Below are 20,051 nucleotides of genomic sequence, written 5' to 3'. Positions count from 1 at the left end.
CCATTTCGTTTACATTGAGATCTTCACACATTTCATTGTTTAGAAAAATTACGGGGAAAATGCTAATAATAGTATGGGGATGTTTGCTGTCAATAGCTCAACAGACTGGCTGCAGATGGACCAAGGCTAAGATTAATTTTAAAAAGCAATCTGGGGACTTCGTGTAGTTTGCACGATTGGACTCCAGGCGCGAGACATCCAGCCTGCCGGCCATTTGTGATCAGAGGGGCTCTGGGTCCTCACAGCGGTGCTTCTCCTATGTGACTGGTTCTAACTACCCTTTCCCTTTCCTTTTGTTTCTGATCTGTTTCAGGACATGGAGGAGTGAATCAGCTTGGGGGGGTTTTTGTGAATGGACGGCCACTCCCGGATGTAGTCCGCCAGAGGATAGTGGAACTTGCTCATCAAGGTGTCAGGCCCTGCGACATCTCCAGGCAGCTTCGGGTCAGCCATGGTTGTGTCAGCAAAATTCTTGGCAGGTAAAGGCAGTAGCTCGAGGCTTCCCTTGATCTTTCAAATAAAGACCTAAAACATGACCCAGCAGCTGTCCAATATGACAGTATCATAGTGAGAATCATGGTGGCATTTTGTTTCACACGCAGAGCACTTTAAAGTCTGCAAAGCCCCAATTCCAAGTAGCCCTTGGAAACCCCTGTCTCTAGTGACATGTGGAATAGGGTGACTTAGTCAGGAGGGAAGACATGTTTTCTGAAAGCCTGGTGAATTGTTCTAAAGAACTCAAGAGTAAGACGTTCTTGGGAATTTCCCTTATATATCCTAGGTGAGCCTGGGTCCCCGCGTAGGACTTAATATCACATAACCAGAGTTCAATGTTTCATTTTAATGTTTTTGGAAGCATATTCCACTTTTAAAAGTCAGCTGTTATTTTCAGTTTTGGGTTATTATCAACCTTGTTATGTTGGGCTGCAGTATTTTCCTTCTCTATGTTTTTATTTCCATCGCAGTGACAAGCATCCAAAGTATATATTAAATTAGAGAAGAGGAAAAAAAAAAAACCCAAACACCAACTTTCAAATATGACATTTGAAAGTTGCCACTTGACCTGGCGATTTGCTGCAAACAAAATACTAACAATGAGGCTTCTCCCATAGGACCGTGCAGCCTTTTAGCACTCCCGTTTATTTTCTCAGTAGCCTCCGCATGATCCAATGAAGCACGTTTTAAGATGAGAAAACAAACCTAGACAGGCAAAGTGACTGACACAGGTTTATCTAGCCAGGCAGTACCCGGGTTGCAATGACGCCTAAAGGACCCCTAGACCATCTGGGTCTCACCATAGCCCCAAAACAAAGCCACAGGTTTGTTTCTGGGCATGTGATCTTGTTTTAGGTCTGCCCTGGCAGGCAGGAGCTTTCTTGGGTTTAGCTGTTCAGTGCTTTCTCACTATTTCTTTTCCCGGGTCAGAAAACAACCTTTGTCCTGTAGTTTGCATTATGGTTTGAGCACAGACACCTGAATAGGAGGTAAATATTTTGAAGTATGTCAGTGACATTCTGACTTTCTCCTGGCTCCTTCCCTTTCATCTGCTGGAATTCAAGAAATTCTCTCAGATGGAAGGAGCAACAGCTTCTAATAACCTTGGGGAGGCTGCTTGTTTGAGGCCAAGGGAAGAAATTTTAGGACCAGGGGTCTGGCAGCTCCTTTGGGGACCTTGATCCCAGGGTTCATTCCGCATCCTCCAGCCCAGTGCAGGTTACCTGAGCTGTGGGGGCTGTGGGCTTCACTCCTGTTTAGCACTCAGCAAATGAACCCCAGAGATAGGGGGTGATTGCAGGACATTAACATGGTTTTCTTGTTAGGTGGTTGTTTTAGGCAGGCGGATGGGAGCGAGAGAAGAAAAGTCGAAGACAGAGAGATAGAGAAAAGAAAAAGAGAAAAAGAAGACAAAGAGAAAAGAGAGTGATTTTAAAAAGGCAGAGAAATAGAAAGAGATAGATAAATGACAAGACAGGAGAAAGAGAGAGAGAGCACAATACTTTAGACTATCTCAGCATCAGACTTCTAGAACCAAAAGGCTCCTAGATATCTTTTTGTGGAGCCTCTTCATTGTACCGAGAGAGAGGGAGAGAGAAAGAAGGCCCTTTCTTTGTTTTTGCTGAGACATCTTTGCTGAGCCGACATTTTGCTCGCTGTTTGAAATCCCAGGGCAAGATACTGAGCCTTTTTCAGAGGGGACATCCAAACATGTGGTCCTCATGTTCTGGTGCTCTGGAGCCTCCAAATCTCCCATGGAGATTGAGGGGGACAGGGATGCTTCCGAGACCAGCCGGCACCCGGAATAGATTTGTCACTAGGTAGAGTGGCACTCGGAAGTTACGCGCCGCTCCGGTGCCTGACCGTTTAAGTTGTCAACAATAAATTGGAATTTCATAGCTCATTATTTTCATAACTAAGAACCACAGTGGACAAAATGTCACTCTAATTAGAACTGCCTTTTAAGAAACAAGTTCAGCCCTAAAACAGTGTAACTGGGAATTTCTGAACTGGGGCCGTTCAATCCACAGATTTTTTTTTTTTTTTTTTGGTCACTGAAGAATTTGATGGGCACACAAGAGGTGACAGATTGTAGGGAGAGTACGATGTGTGGTGGCTATGGTTTCCAGAGTGTGTGGCAAGGCAGGCAAAGTCCCTGGGGCACACAGGGACCCCTGTCATCTCAGGAAGGTGGGCGGTCTGCCAGGAGTGTGGGCATTCAGTCTACAGAGCTCAAGGCTTCGGAGGGGCTAGAGACGCACAGCTTGGTGGCATCTGAGGCTGAGTTAAATCCACCCAGGGCCTGGCTGCTGTCTTTTTTCACTGGAGCCTGGTTGGGAGGTTCAGGTCATTGGTATTGGGTAGTATGTTACACAGTAAGAAGAAACACTAGGGATTTTAATCCTCCGCACGTGCTCTTTATTTTATGTTTTGCAAAGCTTATTCTCAACCGTCTGTATTTCTGTCTTCAAAACAGCCCCACAAAACAAGCAGGGAAGACATTCTCCCCCTATTGTATGAATGGGAAAATTGAGGCCTAGAGAGGCTAAGTGAGTTGGCCAAGATCACACAGAGAGTTAGCATCAGAGCCACCTACACCTCTTGATTACTAAACTAATGCTCTTTGCACCGAAGGACATTGTGTGTTGGTGGCTGCCGTTGGTCTTTTGTCTGTAAGCCAAGGGGCTGCACGGCTGTTTTGCTGAGATGAAAGGATAGTTATTAAATCTGAATCCTCATTTGACACAGTTTCGAGTTGGGGTTTTCGGAGTGTCAGGGTTGCCTTCTAAGTGCCTGGCCCATGTGTCAGTCAAAAGGACGACAGAGACCTCTCATGTCAAGGCCGCAGTCTTCCACAGTTGGCACTGCTCAGGTGGGATGGGCAGGTAGCCCTGCGTGCTGCCGCCCGCCAGCTATGTAAGTGGGGGCCAGGCTGGGGGGGACCTTCAGCTTGCCACCCTCCCAGAGTTGCTATGTGAATGTTGCAGTCCCATTCAACTAACATATTTTGAGTATCCAGGACAGGGTTGTCTAAATGTCTGTAACCCCTTCCCTGAGATTCTGCCTGTCCTAACAGACACTCGGTGACTATCAATTGAGTGAGTGAATGAATGAAAAATGCATGTGAAAATGCCTGGCCTGGTAAATAGTAAAGTTCTCTGCAATTGCAAGGGGTCATTATTCTTATTATTATTTAAAATTTTATAAGCAAAGCAGCAGCTTGCTGTAGCGGGAAGAGCACTGAATTTAGAGTCAGGTTTGAAAGCTGGGGCTGTCCCTAACTACAGAAGGGAGTTGGGCAAGTCACTTAGTCTTCCAATCATTTATTTTTCCTTCTATAAATCCCTGTGGCCTTGCAGGGTTAGTGTGAGGATCAAGATAATTCGAGGAAGAGCTCTGTAAACTTTAGGGTGCTGTGGCTGAATTATAGTGAGTTGTATTATAGTAAAAATTGGCTTTACATTATAAAATTGACAGGACAATTGGAGACTGCAGAGATTGCTGTGTGCCTTGACTTAGGGTGCTTTTCTAGCCATCTGGTTTTTTTGGGATATTGTTAAAAAGTTGTTTGTGAGTAATAATTTTTTGGCAATTACAGAAAAATTGCTGAAAGCAATTTTTTAGAAAGAGGGAAGATAGGTTGAGTTTTTACCTTATGGTCAAAATTTGTAAATGACTCACTCTTTTCAATGAAAAACAGACATTTCACTTTCACATCACTGCTTCCAAAGTATTTCATCTCTTTCAGGATATTCACTAACTTGGCCTTACCCAAACATACCCAGGCTGAGAATTTCAGCATCTCTGTAAATGTGACCAGTCATCTTGGGTAACATTTTCTACCCATCTCAGAATCACCTCGTTCCCTTACCTATCATCAACTCTTGTTAGGTTTCAAAATTATTAGTCATTTAAAAAATGTCTTTTTGGTTTTTTAAAACAGATTCAACTGCAAGATAATTTCCTTGGAAAAGGAAATCAAGAATTCTTCTGTAAATATTGAGAGAGACGTCTGGTGATGTCTCAGATTCAGAAAAGAAATTATGTCAATTATCCCCCCCTGAAATGATGTTTCATGACACTCTTCTTCTTGGTCTTGGTTTTACTGTAAAACCCTGACATCCTATTTTCCTTAATGAGCAAATGCTGATAGCATGGAAATGTCCTTAGAAACAGCCATTTACCTCAGGGGAGGTCCCTGGAAGAGTTGCCGTGACTTGTGGTTGGTTTTTCCGATTGCTTGAGTTTTGACTTACAACAGATATTTTCAGATAATTCTGCAATTCAACATTCCTTTTAATTTTACACCAGGATTATTATTTTTCTCTTACAGAAAAATAAGTTGCATTTCAGGGGACAGTTTCATACAATGCTGGAGATTGTGCTAGGGCTTGGGAGAGCTGGCAAATCAAAAGTGTAAGCTACCTTATTGGGGAAATTGTAGTTCAAGAGGCTGGGTGGGCAACAGCCCTAGCTTGCCCATTTGGTCTTGTGTGACCCTAGGAAAACTGTTTAACCTTGATGAATCTCTGCTTTATACCTGTAGATCAGGACCTATTCATTTATTTGTTCATTCACTCATTCATTAATTCAAAGCAATTTATGTGCTTTAGAACTGTTGGAGATAAAATGGGAAAACTGACTCGAAAGTTTTCTGTAAACTATAAAATGGTAGATGAATGTGAAAGAATTTTGTTAATGCTTAGCCAGTGCTGTCCAATAGAAATACAATGAGAGACTGGCCGGGCGTGGTGGCTCATGCCTGTAATCCCAGCACTTTGGGAGGCCGAGGCAGGCGGATAACCTGAGGTCGGGAGTTCGAGACCAGCCTGACTAACATGGTGAAACCCCCGTCTCTACTAAAAATACAAAATTAGCTGGGCATGGTGGCACATGCCTGTAATCCCAGCTACTCGGGAGGCTGAGGCAGGAGAATCACTTGAACCCAGGAGGCGGAGGTTGCAGTGAGCCAAGATCACGCCATTGCATTCCAGCCTGGGCAACAAGAGCGAAACTCCGTCTGAAAAAAAAAAAAAGAAATACTATGAGAGCTGTGTATGCAATTTAAAATTTTCCAGCAGCACATTAAGAAAAGTTAAAAAAAAGAGGTACTATATTTTAATTATATATTTTAACTCAATATATAAAAATTGTTATTTCAACATACAACTAATATCAAAATTATTGAGATATTTTACTTCTTTTGGTACTAAGTTTTAAAAATTTGGTGTGTATTTTATATTTACAGCACATTTTGATTCAGACTAGCCATATTTCAAATGTTCAAAAGCCGCATCTGGCTGGTGGCTACTGTATTGGAACGTGCAGATCCGGACGTTTCCTGGCCAGAGTAGCCCGTTATTTTGTTGCCAATATCCACTTTACTGGTTCCTCATGGCTAAGCTTCTTTCTCTTTGGGTCCTAGGTATTATGAGACAGGAAGCATCAAGCCTGGGGTAATTGGAGGATCCAAACCAAAGGTCGCCACACCCAAAGTGGTGGAAAAAATCGCTGAATATAAACGCCAAAATCCCACCATGTTTGCCTGGGAGATCAGGGACCGGCTGCTGGCAGAGCGGGTGTGTGACAATGACACCGTGCCTAGCGTCAGTTCCATCAACAGGTGAGGGGCTCGTGCCTGTGGGGGTTGGGGATTTGGAGGGATGGCAGGGCATCCTGGAGGCTCTGCATGTGCCTTTCCTGAAGATCTGGTCTCTTTTTTCACCAAGGCCCCTTAGGGGTTACTGAACAGGAGGGATGCTAATGGGGCCTGCTCGGTCTCTGTTACCCTTCTCTTCTTTCCAAAGCAGGTAGGAGTCCTAGGCCCAGGGAGAGGGGAGCATGCCAACACCCTGGCCGCTCGAGTTTCTTCTGAGCCCAGAGTTATTTCCATCCCTCCCTTCACCACCCACCTATATGTGTGGAACACTTCACAGTGAATTGTCCTGACTAGATCTTCACAAATGTCGCTGTCCCTGCAAACCTAGGCTCAAGGTCTTAGCACTGGCCCATCTCAAAGATTCCCAGGAAGAAAATCCTTCCTCCAGTTTGGGCAGAGCTTGAGCCAGTGAGTGAGAGGAACATAAACCTGACTTGGAGTTGGGAGACTTGGCTCCTTGTTCCAGCTCTGCCACAAGCTCAAAGTGGGACCTTGACAAAGCTCTTCCTCTCTCTGAGAGCCCAGAACCCCAGTGGTTCTGATGTGCATCTTCAACTCCAGAGGTGTTGTCCAGGAGGCTAAGATGCTCTGGAGCAAAGGAGTTGCCCTCTCCCCAACTCATACATGGAATCTCACACAGGGAGAGAAAGAACCAGAGAAACACCCTGGGAGTCATGCACAGGATCTTCCTGGCAGCCACACAGCTCCCTTTCCTTTCCAGTCTGATCCAAGACACATGGAAGGGCGCTCTCAGAGCTTTAAAAATAAATGTATGGAAGAAAGTTTTCTGTTGTAGATGATGAAATTTCAACTCCATTTAAACCCAAAGAGTCAGGGATGAAGTTCAGAGATGAACAGAAATGATGGTTCTCTAAACTCTGCAGAGAAAAGAGAAGGGAGCAGCCTGAAAACTTGGACAGTTTCCATTTCTCCAAATCACACCCTACCATCATCAGTGCAGAGCTTGTGTGGGCGTAGGAGACCCTCACTCCTGGCAGAATGAGGTGGTCGGTCAGACTAGAATGAGAGCCTCTTGTCCTGATAGTGGATCCTTCTGTGATGATTCAAATGCACAGATCGCTGTGGGAGTGCATGTGTTCACATTTTGAGTCCTGCTATTTTGTAAATTGTTAGCCTGTTTTTCTTCTCTTGGCAAACCTTGACAGAGGCCCTGACATCATGCATGGTACAGGGGAGATAGAGGAGAATCAGGCACACAGTTTCTTGGTCTGTTCCAGAGGGGCTCTTTGTCCAGGGTGGGGTTCTGACATGCACTTAGAAGCCTGATGCACCTGGACAAAATTGCTGAGGGGATAGCAATGATGATGGTAGGTTTTGGGGAGGAGGGGATAACTCCTGTTCTTTTTATGGATTATAAGAGGCTCCATTGTGTTTTATGAGCCCCTTACTTCTGGCTCTTTGCGGGATTTCCACGACACAAAACAACATGACAGGCAGCTGGCCTGCTCTGCAGAGGAACATCAGCCAAACCCCTGGTCAGGCTTTGGGGACCCACAGGTTTCCCAACGTAGAGTACACATATAATTGGGGGTTCGCAAGATAACCTTAGGTAGTCCATGGGGGTCACAAAATCTAATGCCTTACATGGGGCCAGGCAGATAAGGTAATGAGGGAAGCAGGCCAGGCAAAAGACGATGGGGAGAGGTTGGGTCCCTGGCAAGCTAGGCAGCACAAGTCCGATTAAAGGGGCAGTGCTTCTTAGCTCCAGCCGAATGCTGCCAGGACCATGGGTCTGGTGTTTGCCAGATTTTTTGCATTCTTCAAGAGAAGGCAGAAGCTGGGGCTTGTGTAGATGTATGCATGGATATTTCTGTATGTGAAATCTCTATATTTAAATTAATTTTTTTTTTATGTAGAGATGGGGGTCTCCCTATGTTGCCCAGGCTGGTATCGAACTCCTGGGCTCAAGCAATCCTCCTACCTCAGCCTCCCAAAGTGCTGGAATTACAGGTGTGAGCCATCACACCTAGCTTAATCTATATATTTTTTTAACAGAGGCAACTAATTTCAATTAAAAATGCCTTGCAGGATGAGCATAACTTATTTACAGAGCATCGGTTTACATCCTCTATAATGCAAAGATGCAAGGGTGCACATTGTTTTCTAATACATTTATTTTAATGTATGTTAGAAAAACGTAAGTAACACACCAAACCAGTGAGTTTGTGAACTCCCCCTCAACACTCCCACCTACCCACTTACAGTAGGGAACTACAATTGCCTTATAAAATAAATTTATTTAAGTCAAAATTGAAGTGATGTGAAAGAAATGTATGAGGCAAATAGAGCAGTGGTTACAGATGTGGCAAAGACTGTGAAGGGGCATGGGATGTGTGGTCAAGAGAGATCACGGGCCCGCTGATGTTTTCTGCCTGGACCTGTGCTGTGGGGAATTTCTAACTGCTGTCTGTAGGGCCATGGCTAGCCTCAGGGGCGTCCTGAGTGTCCAGTCCAAAGCCATGGCCAGGCAGGCCATGCCTCTAAGGTGCTTTCATGTCTGTGGTCTCCTATAGTCCTTAAGGCTTGACTCTATCCTGTGGCAGTTGTAGCAACAGAGGCCAAGATGGAGAGTGCAGAGGAACAGTGACTTGGAGATAGACATGGGGGTAGAACCCAGGTTTCCCAACGGTAAAAGGAGGGCTAGTTTCTTTCCACCACTGCCCTGTAGGACTCTGCGAGTGACAGAACTGAGGATCTGTGAGATGAGAGACAAGAGGGAGGACAAGTATTTTCTTCTGCATTTCAGATCCTCGCGGGCTGCCCGTTCTGCTGCCTGGCTGCCTGCCCTCTCTCATCCTTAGCCTTCTCCAGTGCTCTTCACTGGGGGCTCCTTTTTGGGAGTATTCTCTGGCTCCTTCCTGCTCTCTTCAGTGACAGCTCACTAAGTGTAGGACAATCTCATGCGGCTGCCTTCCTCACCCCTAAACCCCCAAAGCCAGAGCCATCCCAGCATACAGTTTTATTTTTCAGATGAAGGCAAAGCTCCCACTGCATTCAGATGAATGCAGCTTCTAAATGCCTGCCTTGCAAATGACACTGTGTAAGAGGGTCCACATCTCTCCCAGCCCTTGCCTCCCTTGGAGGCAACTTTTCACCCTTTCTGATTTCAAACAGCTGGGGAGGGAGTGATGGCTGGATTTGTGGCTATTCTTATAGCCACAGGGGCATCTCCACGGTTCACCCCTAGGAGTATGTGACTTCCTGTTACCTTCCAGGGGACCAGCCTAGGAAACCATGACTGACAAGGGGTTAAGCATCACTGAACTAGTTCTGTTAGGCTTGTGGGGGATTTCCTGGGACACAGATCACCTTGTTCATTTGACTTCTTATGGACAAACGTGCTGGGAGGCTGCACAACCTGCAGGGATCGCTGGATCCAGTCTGAGTGTCCATTGGAGGTGGCCATCCCAAAGCTGACCCAAACGGTGGGTTGAATGGGGTCTTCCTTCTTCTATTCCAGCACCGTGGCCAAGGGGTGGGGAGTACAAGTGGCACTCCCAGCTTAGAGGGGCAGCTCTATTTAGTACCAACTGGTTGGGTCATGTGAGAACGTGAGGCCAGTATTGTTGGGTGTTCTGATTTTTCAAGAGAAGCTAGAATTCAGATATTTATGAAAAATCTCCCAACTTAAAAATATTAGCAACTAAGTCAAATAAAAACAAATATACTGTGCAGGCTAACAAAACTTGTCCCGGGCTGGAGGTGGCCCTGGGGAAGATGTTTTGTTAGTTCTGCTCTTAATTCTAATTTTGGTAGCAGGCCTTCTGAGATTGTTTATCCATTTCCTCTTTCTTTTTTTTTTTTTTTTTTTGTTTTTTTGAGACAGGGTCTCACTCTGTCACCCAGGCTGGAGTGCAGAGGCACAATCATGGTTCACTGCAACCTTGATCTCCCAGGCTCGGGTGATCTTCCCACCTCAGCTTCCCAAGTAGCTAGGACTACAGGTGCCACCACCATGCCTGGCTAATTTTTTGCATTTTTTGTAGAGATAGGGTTTCATCGTGTTGCCCAGGGTGGTCTCGAACTCCTGGACTCAAGTGATCCACTCACATCGACCTCTATCTGTGTCCTCTTTCTTCTCCACAACAGTCACAGGCCTGGGTGCCACCTGTGGGGCCCCTTGCAGCTTGGCACAGTTGGACCCCTGGGTTTTGAATTCTCGGCATAGCTGATGGCCCAAGCTTCTTACTGCACTGATGGCAGTTTGATCAGTGCCATAGATGTGGGTGTTTCTTCAGCCTTATCTTCCTGTTTCCTTTTTCAAGGCACCATGATTTTCTCTTTCACTGTAATTTTGTGAGGACTGGTGGTGGGGCGGGGGGCGTGGGATGATGGTGAGAAGCCTAGCCTTTCAAAGAAGGAAGAGTGATGTTTCCATGGGATCCTTAAATGCCACAAAGTCCCTCAGAGTTTTAAACCTCAAATTCTAAGTGGGTTTGAAATCCAAATAGCTTTTATGCCTCACATAGGAAGTATTTAGCAGAGGGACCGCGCTTCCTTTGAATGTGGCTTAAAGTAAAGTGCTGGGGCATGGGGGCTGGGAGTCTGGGCTGACTCGCTGTGCAATTCTGGGCAAGTCATTTGAGCATCTTGGGTTTTAGTTTCCTTATTCATAGGAAGAGTTTGATGCTGAGCTCCTTTCTCTGTTGGAACGTCTAGTGTGCTCTGCAGTACGGCAGCCAGGGTCCTGCTCACGCTCAGCAGGTAAGGGACGGGCAATTTGGTGTGACTGCCAACTCAGCCCAACTGTCCCTGGCTTAGAAAAGGTCCTGAGTGTGTTCTTATTGGATGAGTCTTGACAGCCTGTCATATTTAAAATTTAAAATTTGTTTAGAGTTGTTATGATTCAATTACAGTCTTGTTCTTCCCACTACAGTTTCTTCTCAGTGTAAGCTGATGCTCTTTGTTTTTACTTGGTGACTGCTAAAGGCAGATGAGCAAAATCTCTCACCCCTGGGGGCAGCTTCAGAGGCTTGCCTATAACTCTGAGATCCCCCTTTATAAAGGACAACCCTGATGCATTCTTAAAACAGTGTGAGAGTGGCTACCTTCCCCTCCCCAGCTTCCAAGGGGGCCACTTGTGCTTTATTATTATTATTATTTTTAATTTTTATGGGTGCATAGTAGGCATATATATATATATTTATGAGTACATGAGATATTTTGGTACAGGTATGCAATGAGTAATAACCCACCATGAAAAATGGGGTATGCATCCCCTCAAACATTTATTCTTTGTGTTACAAACAACCCAATTACACTCTTTTAGTTATTTTTAAATGTACAGTTAAATTATTACTAACTATAGTATCCTCATTGTGCTATCAAATACTAGGTCTTATTCATTCTTTCTATTTTTTTGCACCCATTGAGCATCTTTACTCCCCCACCGCCCTCGCCTTGTGCTTTTTAAAGCAAATGTGAAAAATATGAATATTTTAAGACGGAAGCTAGTCATTAATCTTTACAAAGACACCACTGAAAATAACATCTTACATTTAAGGAGCACCTAGTATGTAGCTACCACTGTTTTAAGTAATTCATTAATTTAATCCTAATAGTAATCCTATGAGATAGAAATGATTCTTAGTCCCATTTGCAGATGAAGAGACTGAGGCATAGAGAGGTTAAGTAATTTACCCAAGGTCATGTAGCTGGTAAATTGTAAGAGGGATGGGATTCAAACTCTAGTGGTCTAGTTCCAGAGCCTGTACACTGTGCTACTGCAGCCTCTTAATGATTTATAACAATTGATAATGCTTTCCCAGTGATATTTATAACTATTTTAAAAGAAAATGAGGAAAACATAATTTTCTTTGCTTTTTTACATACAAATTTAATAGTCAGACAATGATTTGAAAAGTAAGGATTTTAAGCTGAACTACAGTGACTTTTTTGCCATATATTTATTTGTAACTATATTTATGTCTGGTATATCCATATATTGACATATCCAGCAATATCTCTGTAGACACATACACACAGAGAAAGTGACATACACAAAAATATAAACATTAGGTCAGATGCCAGCTTACTTCCAGGTGACCAAAAAGAGAACCTCACTCCCAGAACTGGACATTTTATTATGACCCACTCTTCTCCCAAATGCCATGAGTTTTCTGGTTGTCCAATATGCTTCGAGTTTGCTTAGTTAAAATAAGTGGTTTGAATATTAGGGAAAACAAACAAACAATCTGAATGTATTTGAGGGAACACTTAAGCTGACTGATTAGAAAAGGGCAAGAGGCTCCTTGCTGAGCTCAAGTAGCCAGGCTCCAGATGGCCTGTGTGTGTGTGGTGAGACTATAGGGTGAACAGAAAAGACCATTTCAGGCTATCAGCTGAGGACACGGACTGCCCTTGGTGCCGAGCACCAAGCTGTAAGATCAGAAAGGGCAGAGAGGCTACTGCCCATTGAGTTTAAGGGGAGGCACCCACCTGCTACTTCTGTCATTCTTCATTTGTATAAGCTGGAGACCCAGTGCAGCCTCAGAATAAACTTTCAGATATTAATGGTCTGGAATGTGAAAAAGCTTCTCACAGAATGTTGCATGAAAAGAGCAGGCTGCAAAACTGTATACATGGAGGCTGAGTGCGGTGGCTCACGCCTGTAATCCCAGCACTTTGGGAGGCCGAGGAGGGCCGACCACTTGAGGTCAGGAGTTGGAGACCAGCCTGGCTAACGTGGTGAAACCTCTTCTTTACTAAAAATACAAAAATTAGGCAGTGGCATGCGCCTGTAGTCCCAGCTACTCGGGAGGCTGAGGCAGGAGAATCAGTTGAACCCTAGGGGCAGAGGTGGCAGTGAGCTGAGGTTATGCCACTACACTCCAGCCTGGGTGACAGAGAGAGACTTCGTCTCAAAAAGAAAAACAAAAAAGCAAAAAAACAAAAAAACTGGGCATGGTGGCGCATGCCTGTAATCCTAGATACTTGGGAGGATGAGGCAGGAGAATCACTCAAACCTGGGAGGCGGAGGTTGCAGTGAACTGAGATCGCACCACTATACTCCAGCCTGGGCAACAGAGCAAGACTCTGTCTCAAAACAAACAACCACCACAACAAAAAAAACTGTATACATGGCATAATCCTGATTTTGTTAAGAGAAAAATGGATATTTCTAAATATGCCCAGGAATGTTGGTATAAAGGAAATACACCAAAATACCGTTTTTAGATGTCTTCTTTATACTTTCCCATACTGTCCAAAGAGTCTACAATGAACGTATATTACTGTTATAATGAGAAAAAACTCTAATAAATGTCCTTTCAAAAGGTAATAGTTTGAGACTGGAATATAACTTTTCCAAAGAAACCGGACATTTTATTATGACCCACTCTTCTCCCAAATGCCAAGGAAGGAGCTTTCTGGTAGATCCGAAGGAGCTTTTCGCGTGGCCCTGTTCTGCTGCTCTCAGATGCGCCGGACTTGCTGTCTTGCGCATGCGTGGTCCTTGCTGGACGTCTACAAACTCTTCAGAGCCTAAGGTTCTGCAGAAGGATGTTAGAGCGGTCAGATGGCCAAGGGAAGGCAGTACTGCTATTATCTCTTTTATGTACGGGGTTTTTCCATAAGATCTTTTTTCTTTTCCGAAAATGATTTGGTTACTTAAAATAAGCAGAGTGGTCTGTTCCAACTCCGTCATTGTATCGGAGGTCCACAATGGAATGTACTTGGTCAAGGTCACAGTGGAATTTGTATTAGAGTGTGAGCAAGGTCTCTGAAAAGACAGGCCAGGATATCACTGGCTCCAGCCCTGTGGATCCTTTCTGTGAGGTTTGGTGCAAGGTAGGCTTCCTCTTAAGAAAGCCAAACCGGATGTCTCCTGGCTGCACTTTGACTCTCCCTAGTATCAGAACAACATATACATCCCCTCCCTTGGCAACTTCCTAGGGGAAGGGGTGTTATCCCTCCTTATGCGTTCTCTAGGGCAGAGAAACCAGCACGTGAGCGCTGCCAGAGGACAGAGAGATTACCAAGTTCAGTTCCTTCATTCCACATATAGGAGGCTGAGGTCTAGGAAAGGGAAGGACTCCCTAAAGTCACTCAATGAGTCTCTTATGGAGCTAGAGCTATACTCGAGAAAGGGATGCTTACTCGTAATGTTAACACATCATCCTCTTTCTTCAGAAGAGGCACTTGAAGCCCAGAGAGGGGGTGCAAATTACACAAGGAAACAAATTACACAGGGAAACAGAAGCAAAGTTGGGACTAGTCCATAAACCTTCCACCCTCCTGATTCCAGCCTGGGTTTATAATCTCCCTCCACCTCTGCCCCTCTGCCTCAGCTCGAACCATGGCCCAGCTTGGGTATGAGTTTTCTGGTTGTCTGTGCATAGCTGGTTGAGGTCTCTTCTCCTTCCTGATGGTAAATAGCAATTTTGTTTTTCAACTGCCCACAGGATCATCCGGACAAAAGTACAGCAGCCACCCAACCAACCAGTCCCAGCTTCCAGTCACAGCATAGGTAAGAGGAACTTTTAAAAAAAATTTAAAAATCTAATGGGCTCCAAATATTCTAAAGAACTTTTAATCATTCTTATGGACAGATAATTCTGCATAAAACACTTCAGCACACGTACTAATGCGCCTTCTTTGTCATTCTCCAAGGGCTGAACCTGGTAAATGAATTTTATAAATACTGCTAAAAGGTTTTGAATTTTACTGATTATTATGATAAATAGCTTTCACCATGAGACAGAAAATTGAAATCTAAGCCAAAAAAAAATCCACTAATGGGGGTCTATAGAATGTCAGATAATTAAAGTAATAAATCAAGAAAGGGATACTTATTCATAACATTTTCTGCATCATTAGTCAGTAAGTAGTTTTGAATGTGTTTTTTTCTTCTATCAACCAGCCCTTCTACAATTCTTTGTGCACTTGCAGTCTTGAGTGAAGATGTGGCAAAAGTTCCCAAACTTACTTTCTCTCTCTCTCTTGCTTCGATCTCATGAACTCTATGAACTGTCAAGGGCTGCCAGTGGGGTTTCCAGTGCTCGCAGGTGACGTCTGAGAGTGGCTGTGACCCGACAGAGTGGGAGTCATACTTCCTAGTGCTCAAGAGTTCAGAAATGTCCTTTGTCTTCCCTTCAAAGATTGTGAAATGACATGTGTCTATTTAAGGTGTATTATTTCTCCACTTGGGATACAGGAAACACCGCTGGTTAGCTGGGGGAAAAGTTATTGTACTATATAAGAAAGTGGGCAATGATTTAGCAAGTCTCTGACACTTCTGGTTGCCACAGTCAATCCTGCAGAATCACACCTCAGATTGTGTAACATTTCCACACTTTTGTTATTCCTTCTTTAACTGAGAACTTGAACTCACACGGTGATGGGGAATGGGCAGAGTCCTGGCCTCCAGTTCCAACTTTGTCATTACCTCACCCAGTAAAATGTAAAAGTTCTCTCACCTCCCTGAGCCTCAGTTTCCTCATTTGTGGGTGGAGGGGCACTAACCAGGTGCTCACTGAGGCCTCTGATCCTCCATGGTTGGCTCTTTGGATAAAGGTAAGACAGATTTCCTCCCTGCCATGAAATAATTCCTCATTTAGTAATCCCTTCAGAAAGTGTCTGCTAAGTCCCTGCGGTGCAGACCTTGGCATCAGAGGCCAAGCCTATAAGAAAGGGAAGACAAAATCCCCATTCTCAAGGTAAAGGGGGAATATAATGAAGAGAAGTTTGCAAGACAGAGATGAAGCTCAAGAAGAAGGGATGGGTGCTGTGGGGGCAGAAGGAAAGGAACCACCAGCTCTGCTGGGCTAGGGTGAAGAGGGTGAAGGAAGGCTTCCTGGGGGAATGTTTGTGGCTGAGATTTCACTTGTAGCTGACCAACTATTTCAGGTCACATAGCACTGAAAATCAAATGGGTATAACTGCTAATATTCTTTCATTTGGTTTAGAAGAATAATTCTACTGTAGGTCAGCAGCATGTTTTGTTCTGTCCCAGAAATTTTTAAATTAAACTACATCTCGCATACATATAGCCCCTTAGAGTTCACAAACTTACCGAGGAGTGAGGAAACTGAAACTTACAGAGATGAAATAACTAGCCCTAGGTCATGTTGCCAGTAAGTGGTGGGGCCAAAAGTGGAATCTGGGTCTTTTGAGCCTAGCGCAATCACAAAACACCAAAACGAATGTCATGGGCTCTGCCAGCAACATGGTGAGCTTTGGTTATATATGGTGGTTGTTGTTTAAAGTACCAAGTGACCTGGGATCTTCTTTCTTCCTCTGTTTTTTACATGTTAATACAGAAAAGGTTGTGGGATTTGCATAAATCTATTTTAAGGAGCTTCTTCTGGTGAAGAAAAAGAGAAGTTAACGATTTCTGCCTCTGTGTCTCTTAAGGAAGATGTGAGATCAAACTGAAATGTGAGAAGAAAGGCATGGCTCCCTCTAGGTTTGTAGGAGCCAGGAGCTGGATCTGCTCCAAAGGGAAGCCGTGAAGGGCTTCTCAGGCAGTCACCACCATTTCTAGTGATTTCCTACTCTTAAGAGTCAAAGGTGGCTCCACCTGCCTCCAGCTGGTTATAGCCCAAGGAAGTGTGTCTGAGATTGGTCTGTAGGTTTTAATGAATCAAAAAAGAATTCCCACAGCCCAGAAATGGCAATTCAGCTGTACAGCTGGAGAGGCCCCTGCTGATGGACTGGTCTCTCCCTAGGAATCTGGGGCCAGAAGTTAATGTGAAACTTGCACAAAAGTTGCCCCCCACCTCCCATCCAATTCTTATTCTTAGGAACTTTGAGACCTAGCCTCAGTCACAATAAGTCACCAACCACTGCCCCTATTTCTGGGCGGGGGAAATCTAGACTTTAAGTAAGTAAACCCAAGGCTAAGTTCTGGTGCCGCTGTTTATTAGCTAGATGACTTTGAATCACTTTCCCTGTGGAGCCTCAGTTTCCTTATTTGATAAATGGGGATAAATAATAGCACTCTGGGCTGTTGCAATCATCAAATGAAAAGTACTGCATTCATGTGAAGTATATTATTGCTCTTCATTGTTTATTAGTGCGAAGCAGATTAGTTATAGGGTTTGAGGCTTTAGTCTCTGGGTTCAAATCACCACTCTGTCTCTTTTATTTTTTATTTTTATTTTTGAGACAGGGTCTTGCTCTGCTGCCCAGGCTGGAGTACAGTGGCACAATCATAGCTCACTACAACCTCGACTTCCTGGGCTCAAGTGATCCTCTTGCCTCAGCCTCCCAAGTAGCTGGGATTATAGGCTTGTGCCACCACACCTGGCTAATTTTTTTTTAAAGTTTTTTGGTAGGTCTTGCTATGTTGGCCAGGCTGGTCTTGAACTCCTGAGCTCAAGTGATCCTCCCACGTCTGCCTTCCAAAGTGCTGGGATTACAGGCGTGAGCCCCGGCACCAGGCACTCTGCCTCTTATTAGCTGTATGATCCTGGGTGAGCCACTTATCTTCTCTGAGTTTTACCTTTCCAATAGGATTATCACATTTCCTAGCTTCTAAGATTGTTCTCAGAATTAAATGAGATAATGCCTCAATGCCTGGCACAGAGTAAGTTCTCAGAAAATGTTAGTTATTGTTATTGTCATAATTAATATTAAAATCAAATCGGGGGAAACTGGAAGGAGAAAAGGCAGCAAGAAAACTATAAAAAGAAGGGGCACTCTGCGGTTTGGAGTTTGTTAGCCGTGCGCGTGAGTTTGTGCTCAGGTAGTTGTGTTTGCACCCAAGGTTGGGTTGGGTGTGCAGGCAGGTGGTGAAATGCCTAACGAGTAGTTCAGGTTTTTTTTTTTTTTTTTTTTTTTTTTTAAGCACTGACTGTTGGTGGGCCCCGGCTCCCCTCTTTCTCCTCTCCATCCCCTGCTTCCTGCATCCATGGATAGGCTGGAATTTAAGCGAAAGCCCTTCCTGTCCCCGTGTCCCCGTGTTCCTTTCTGCAGGGGTCAGTCCTTCTCAGTGCCCACCCTTCCCTTTCTCCCCCCATCGCAGAGAACTGGGGCACACGGCCCGCCCGAGGCCTGCGCTCGTGGCTCAGGTGTGGCCGCCTCCGCAGAGCGAGGGTCCTCAGCGCCCCCTGCCCACCCTGCGCTCGCTCCCTCCCAGCCGCCCCCAGCCTCACGTGCGGTGACAGCCGGTCCGCCGCCCTCAGCCCTCTGCGGCCCTGACCGCCCGTCTTTCTCCGCGCAGTGTCCACTGGCTCCGTGACGCAGGTGTCCTCGGTGAGCACGGATTCGGCCGGCTCGTCGTACTCCATCAGCGGCATCCTGGGCATCACGTCCCCCAGCGCCGACACCAACAAGCGCAAGAGAGACGAAGGTAAGAGAGGCCCGCGCAGCCCCGTCGGGGATGCGCTCCACGGGGTCTGTTTCCGGCGCTCGGTCGCGGGTGGCAGCAGAGGTGCCCGCGAACACCCCCCTTACCTGCAGAGGAGCGAGTCCCCCGGCCCGCACGCTGTCCTTTTCGTGAACACGGGAAAGGGCTGAGCCCTCCGCAAGACAGACAGGCAGCAGGGTGAGACTGTGGCATTCTTGCTGGCCTCCCCCATGGTCACCCCTTGGATAGAAGCAGCGGGCCTGGCAGAGCCCTTGTGGCCTGAGCTTTGGCCTTTAAGAAGACCCTGTGTGCGTGCAGATATGCGGCCCGAGGGCAGGGTGTGCTGGGCTCCACACCCAAGTCCACTTTGTGGAGGAGCTTTGGACCAGAGAGAGGGGGCTGGCCAAACCGTGAGAGGGGCACACGTGCGGAGGGCGGAGGGGTGGGTTCTCTGAAAGGCCCTGCACACGTCTCAGCAGACAGAGAAGGCCTTCAGCCCTGATGATGGTGTTGGGGGGCGGTGCTGAGGAAATTAATAATCATCTCATCTTTGTCCTTGGGTCTGGAAGGAAGAAGTGCGGGGGTGTTGGGGGGGATTACAAAGATGACAATCTTCCCGGTTGGTTTTTCTCAGCCCCTCCACGGGCCTGGCCCTGTGGTGCCTGGGTCTCCAGAGCCAGCCACCTCCATCCTGGACACCGGACACCTTAACTGGGGCTCCTTTCCCCTGTATGGGCTGCCAGTACTGGCTGACATTAATGGGTTTGAGAGGAGAAAAGACCCCCTGGGAGCCTGTAAAACCTTAGTCAGGAAAAGAAAAAAAAAAAAAAAAAAAAAAAAGCCAGAGCTGTGGTCTAGGGCCTGAGAGCAGCATGACAGAAATCTTGATTCAATTATTCTGTTCCTCAGCACAATTCCCTTTCTCAGCTCTGTGTAAGGGATGTGTGTTCTCATGAGCACATGCCTAAGTACTTAAGATCTGTAACTAGAAAATTGAGTCGGCCCAGCCGTGGATTGGCCTGTGGTCTGCGTGTTGCCAGCAGTGCAGAAGCAGAGCCGGTGGCCTCGGTTTGGAACCGTGGGGGTGTGTGGGGAAGATTTGCGGCTTTTGGAACCTGCCTTGCCTCTCTCTTCTGCTCCTGCTGCTCCTGAGCAGATGTCAGACGTCTTTAACTCAGTAGGCTGCGGTGCTGTGTTGCTGCAGGAGGCAGTGGGCCTGCCATCTCTGTTGTTTTATGAGGTTGATGGTATCATCTTTTCTCCCATTGTCACCTGGACTCGCAGCAGATGTGCCTAAGCTGGGGCCTGGATGTATTTGTTCACGGTGGAGGGACAGATTGTGTGAGACTCCCCCAGAGGCTGAGGGATCCAGGTGGAGATTTTTGGGGAAAGAGAAAAGCTAGTTTGATGTTTACCACCAAACAGACAGGTTCTGGCCTGGGGGCATTATTTACTTTGTTTTCGGAGTGCTATATTGGCTTGCAGTCTGACCAGCAGTCATGGTTTTGCCCCTCAAGCTCCTTTACAAGGTATAGCGTGGTCAGAATGTGGGTGGTGTTGGTCTTGACTACTCCGTACTACTCAGAT

The 20,051-nt window shown here is 45.8% G+C and overlaps 1 protein-coding gene and 1 long non-coding RNA gene across 15 annotated transcripts in view, besides 2 other annotated features; one reads left to right on the top strand and one right to left on the bottom strand.

The window, feature by feature from the left end:
• PAX5 (paired box 5) overlaps positions 1-20,051 on the top strand; it is a 201,000-nt gene that overhangs the window by 13,154 nt on the left and 167,795 nt on the right. For 8 of the 13 annotated variants that reach the window (NR_103999.2, NR_104000.2, NM_001280550.2 and 5 more), the window contains exons 2-5: positions 314-479; positions 5,921-6,118; positions 14,578-14,642; positions 18,339-18,467. Coding sequence is in view for 11 of the 13 variants with exons in the window: in NM_001280550.2 (NP_001267479.1) it covers positions 314-479; positions 5,921-6,118; positions 14,578-14,642; positions 18,339-18,467 (558 nt within the window). In the remaining 2 variants the exon portion in view is untranslated. The remainder of the gene's footprint in view (positions 1-313; positions 480-5,920; positions 6,119-14,577; positions 14,643-18,338; positions 18,468-20,051) is intronic. The other 5 variants (NM_001280551.2, NM_001280556.2, NM_001280553.2 and 2 more) reach the window with 3 other exon arrangements.
• Positions 9,470-9,539: an enhancer, noted in NCBI's record as "active region_28370". NCBI's record gives its function as "activates an Ori minimal core promoter by ATAC-STARR-seq in GM12878 lymphoblastoid cells {active_cell/tissue: GM12878}" and the evidence as "EXISTENCE:reporter gene assay evidence [ECO:0000049][PMID:35858748]".
• Positions 12,063-18,922, bottom strand: LOC105376032 (uncharacterized). Of its 2 annotated transcripts, NR_188579.1 has the most exons (4): positions 18,572-18,922; positions 18,271-18,415; positions 15,102-15,346; positions 12,063-13,665 (listed from the first exon to the last, which is right to left on the bottom strand). It is a non-coding gene; the product is annotated as an uncharacterized LOC105376032 (long non-coding RNA). The 2 variants fall into 2 exon arrangements; NR_188578.1 differs by lacking the exon at positions 15,102-15,346.
• Positions 15,247-15,296: an enhancer, noted in NCBI's record as "active region_28369". NCBI's record gives its function as "activates an Ori minimal core promoter by ATAC-STARR-seq in GM12878 lymphoblastoid cells {active_cell/tissue: GM12878}" and the evidence as "EXISTENCE:reporter gene assay evidence [ECO:0000049][PMID:35858748]".

The sequence above is a fragment of the Homo sapiens genome, chromosome 9, assembly GCF_000001405.40.
Source record: "Homo sapiens chromosome 9, GRCh38.p14 Primary Assembly".
Lineage (NCBI taxonomy): Eukaryota > Metazoa > Chordata > Mammalia > Primates > Hominidae > Homo > Homo sapiens.
The sequence above is the reverse complement of the archived record's forward strand: the minus strand, read 5'-3'. Positions and strand labels throughout refer to the sequence as shown.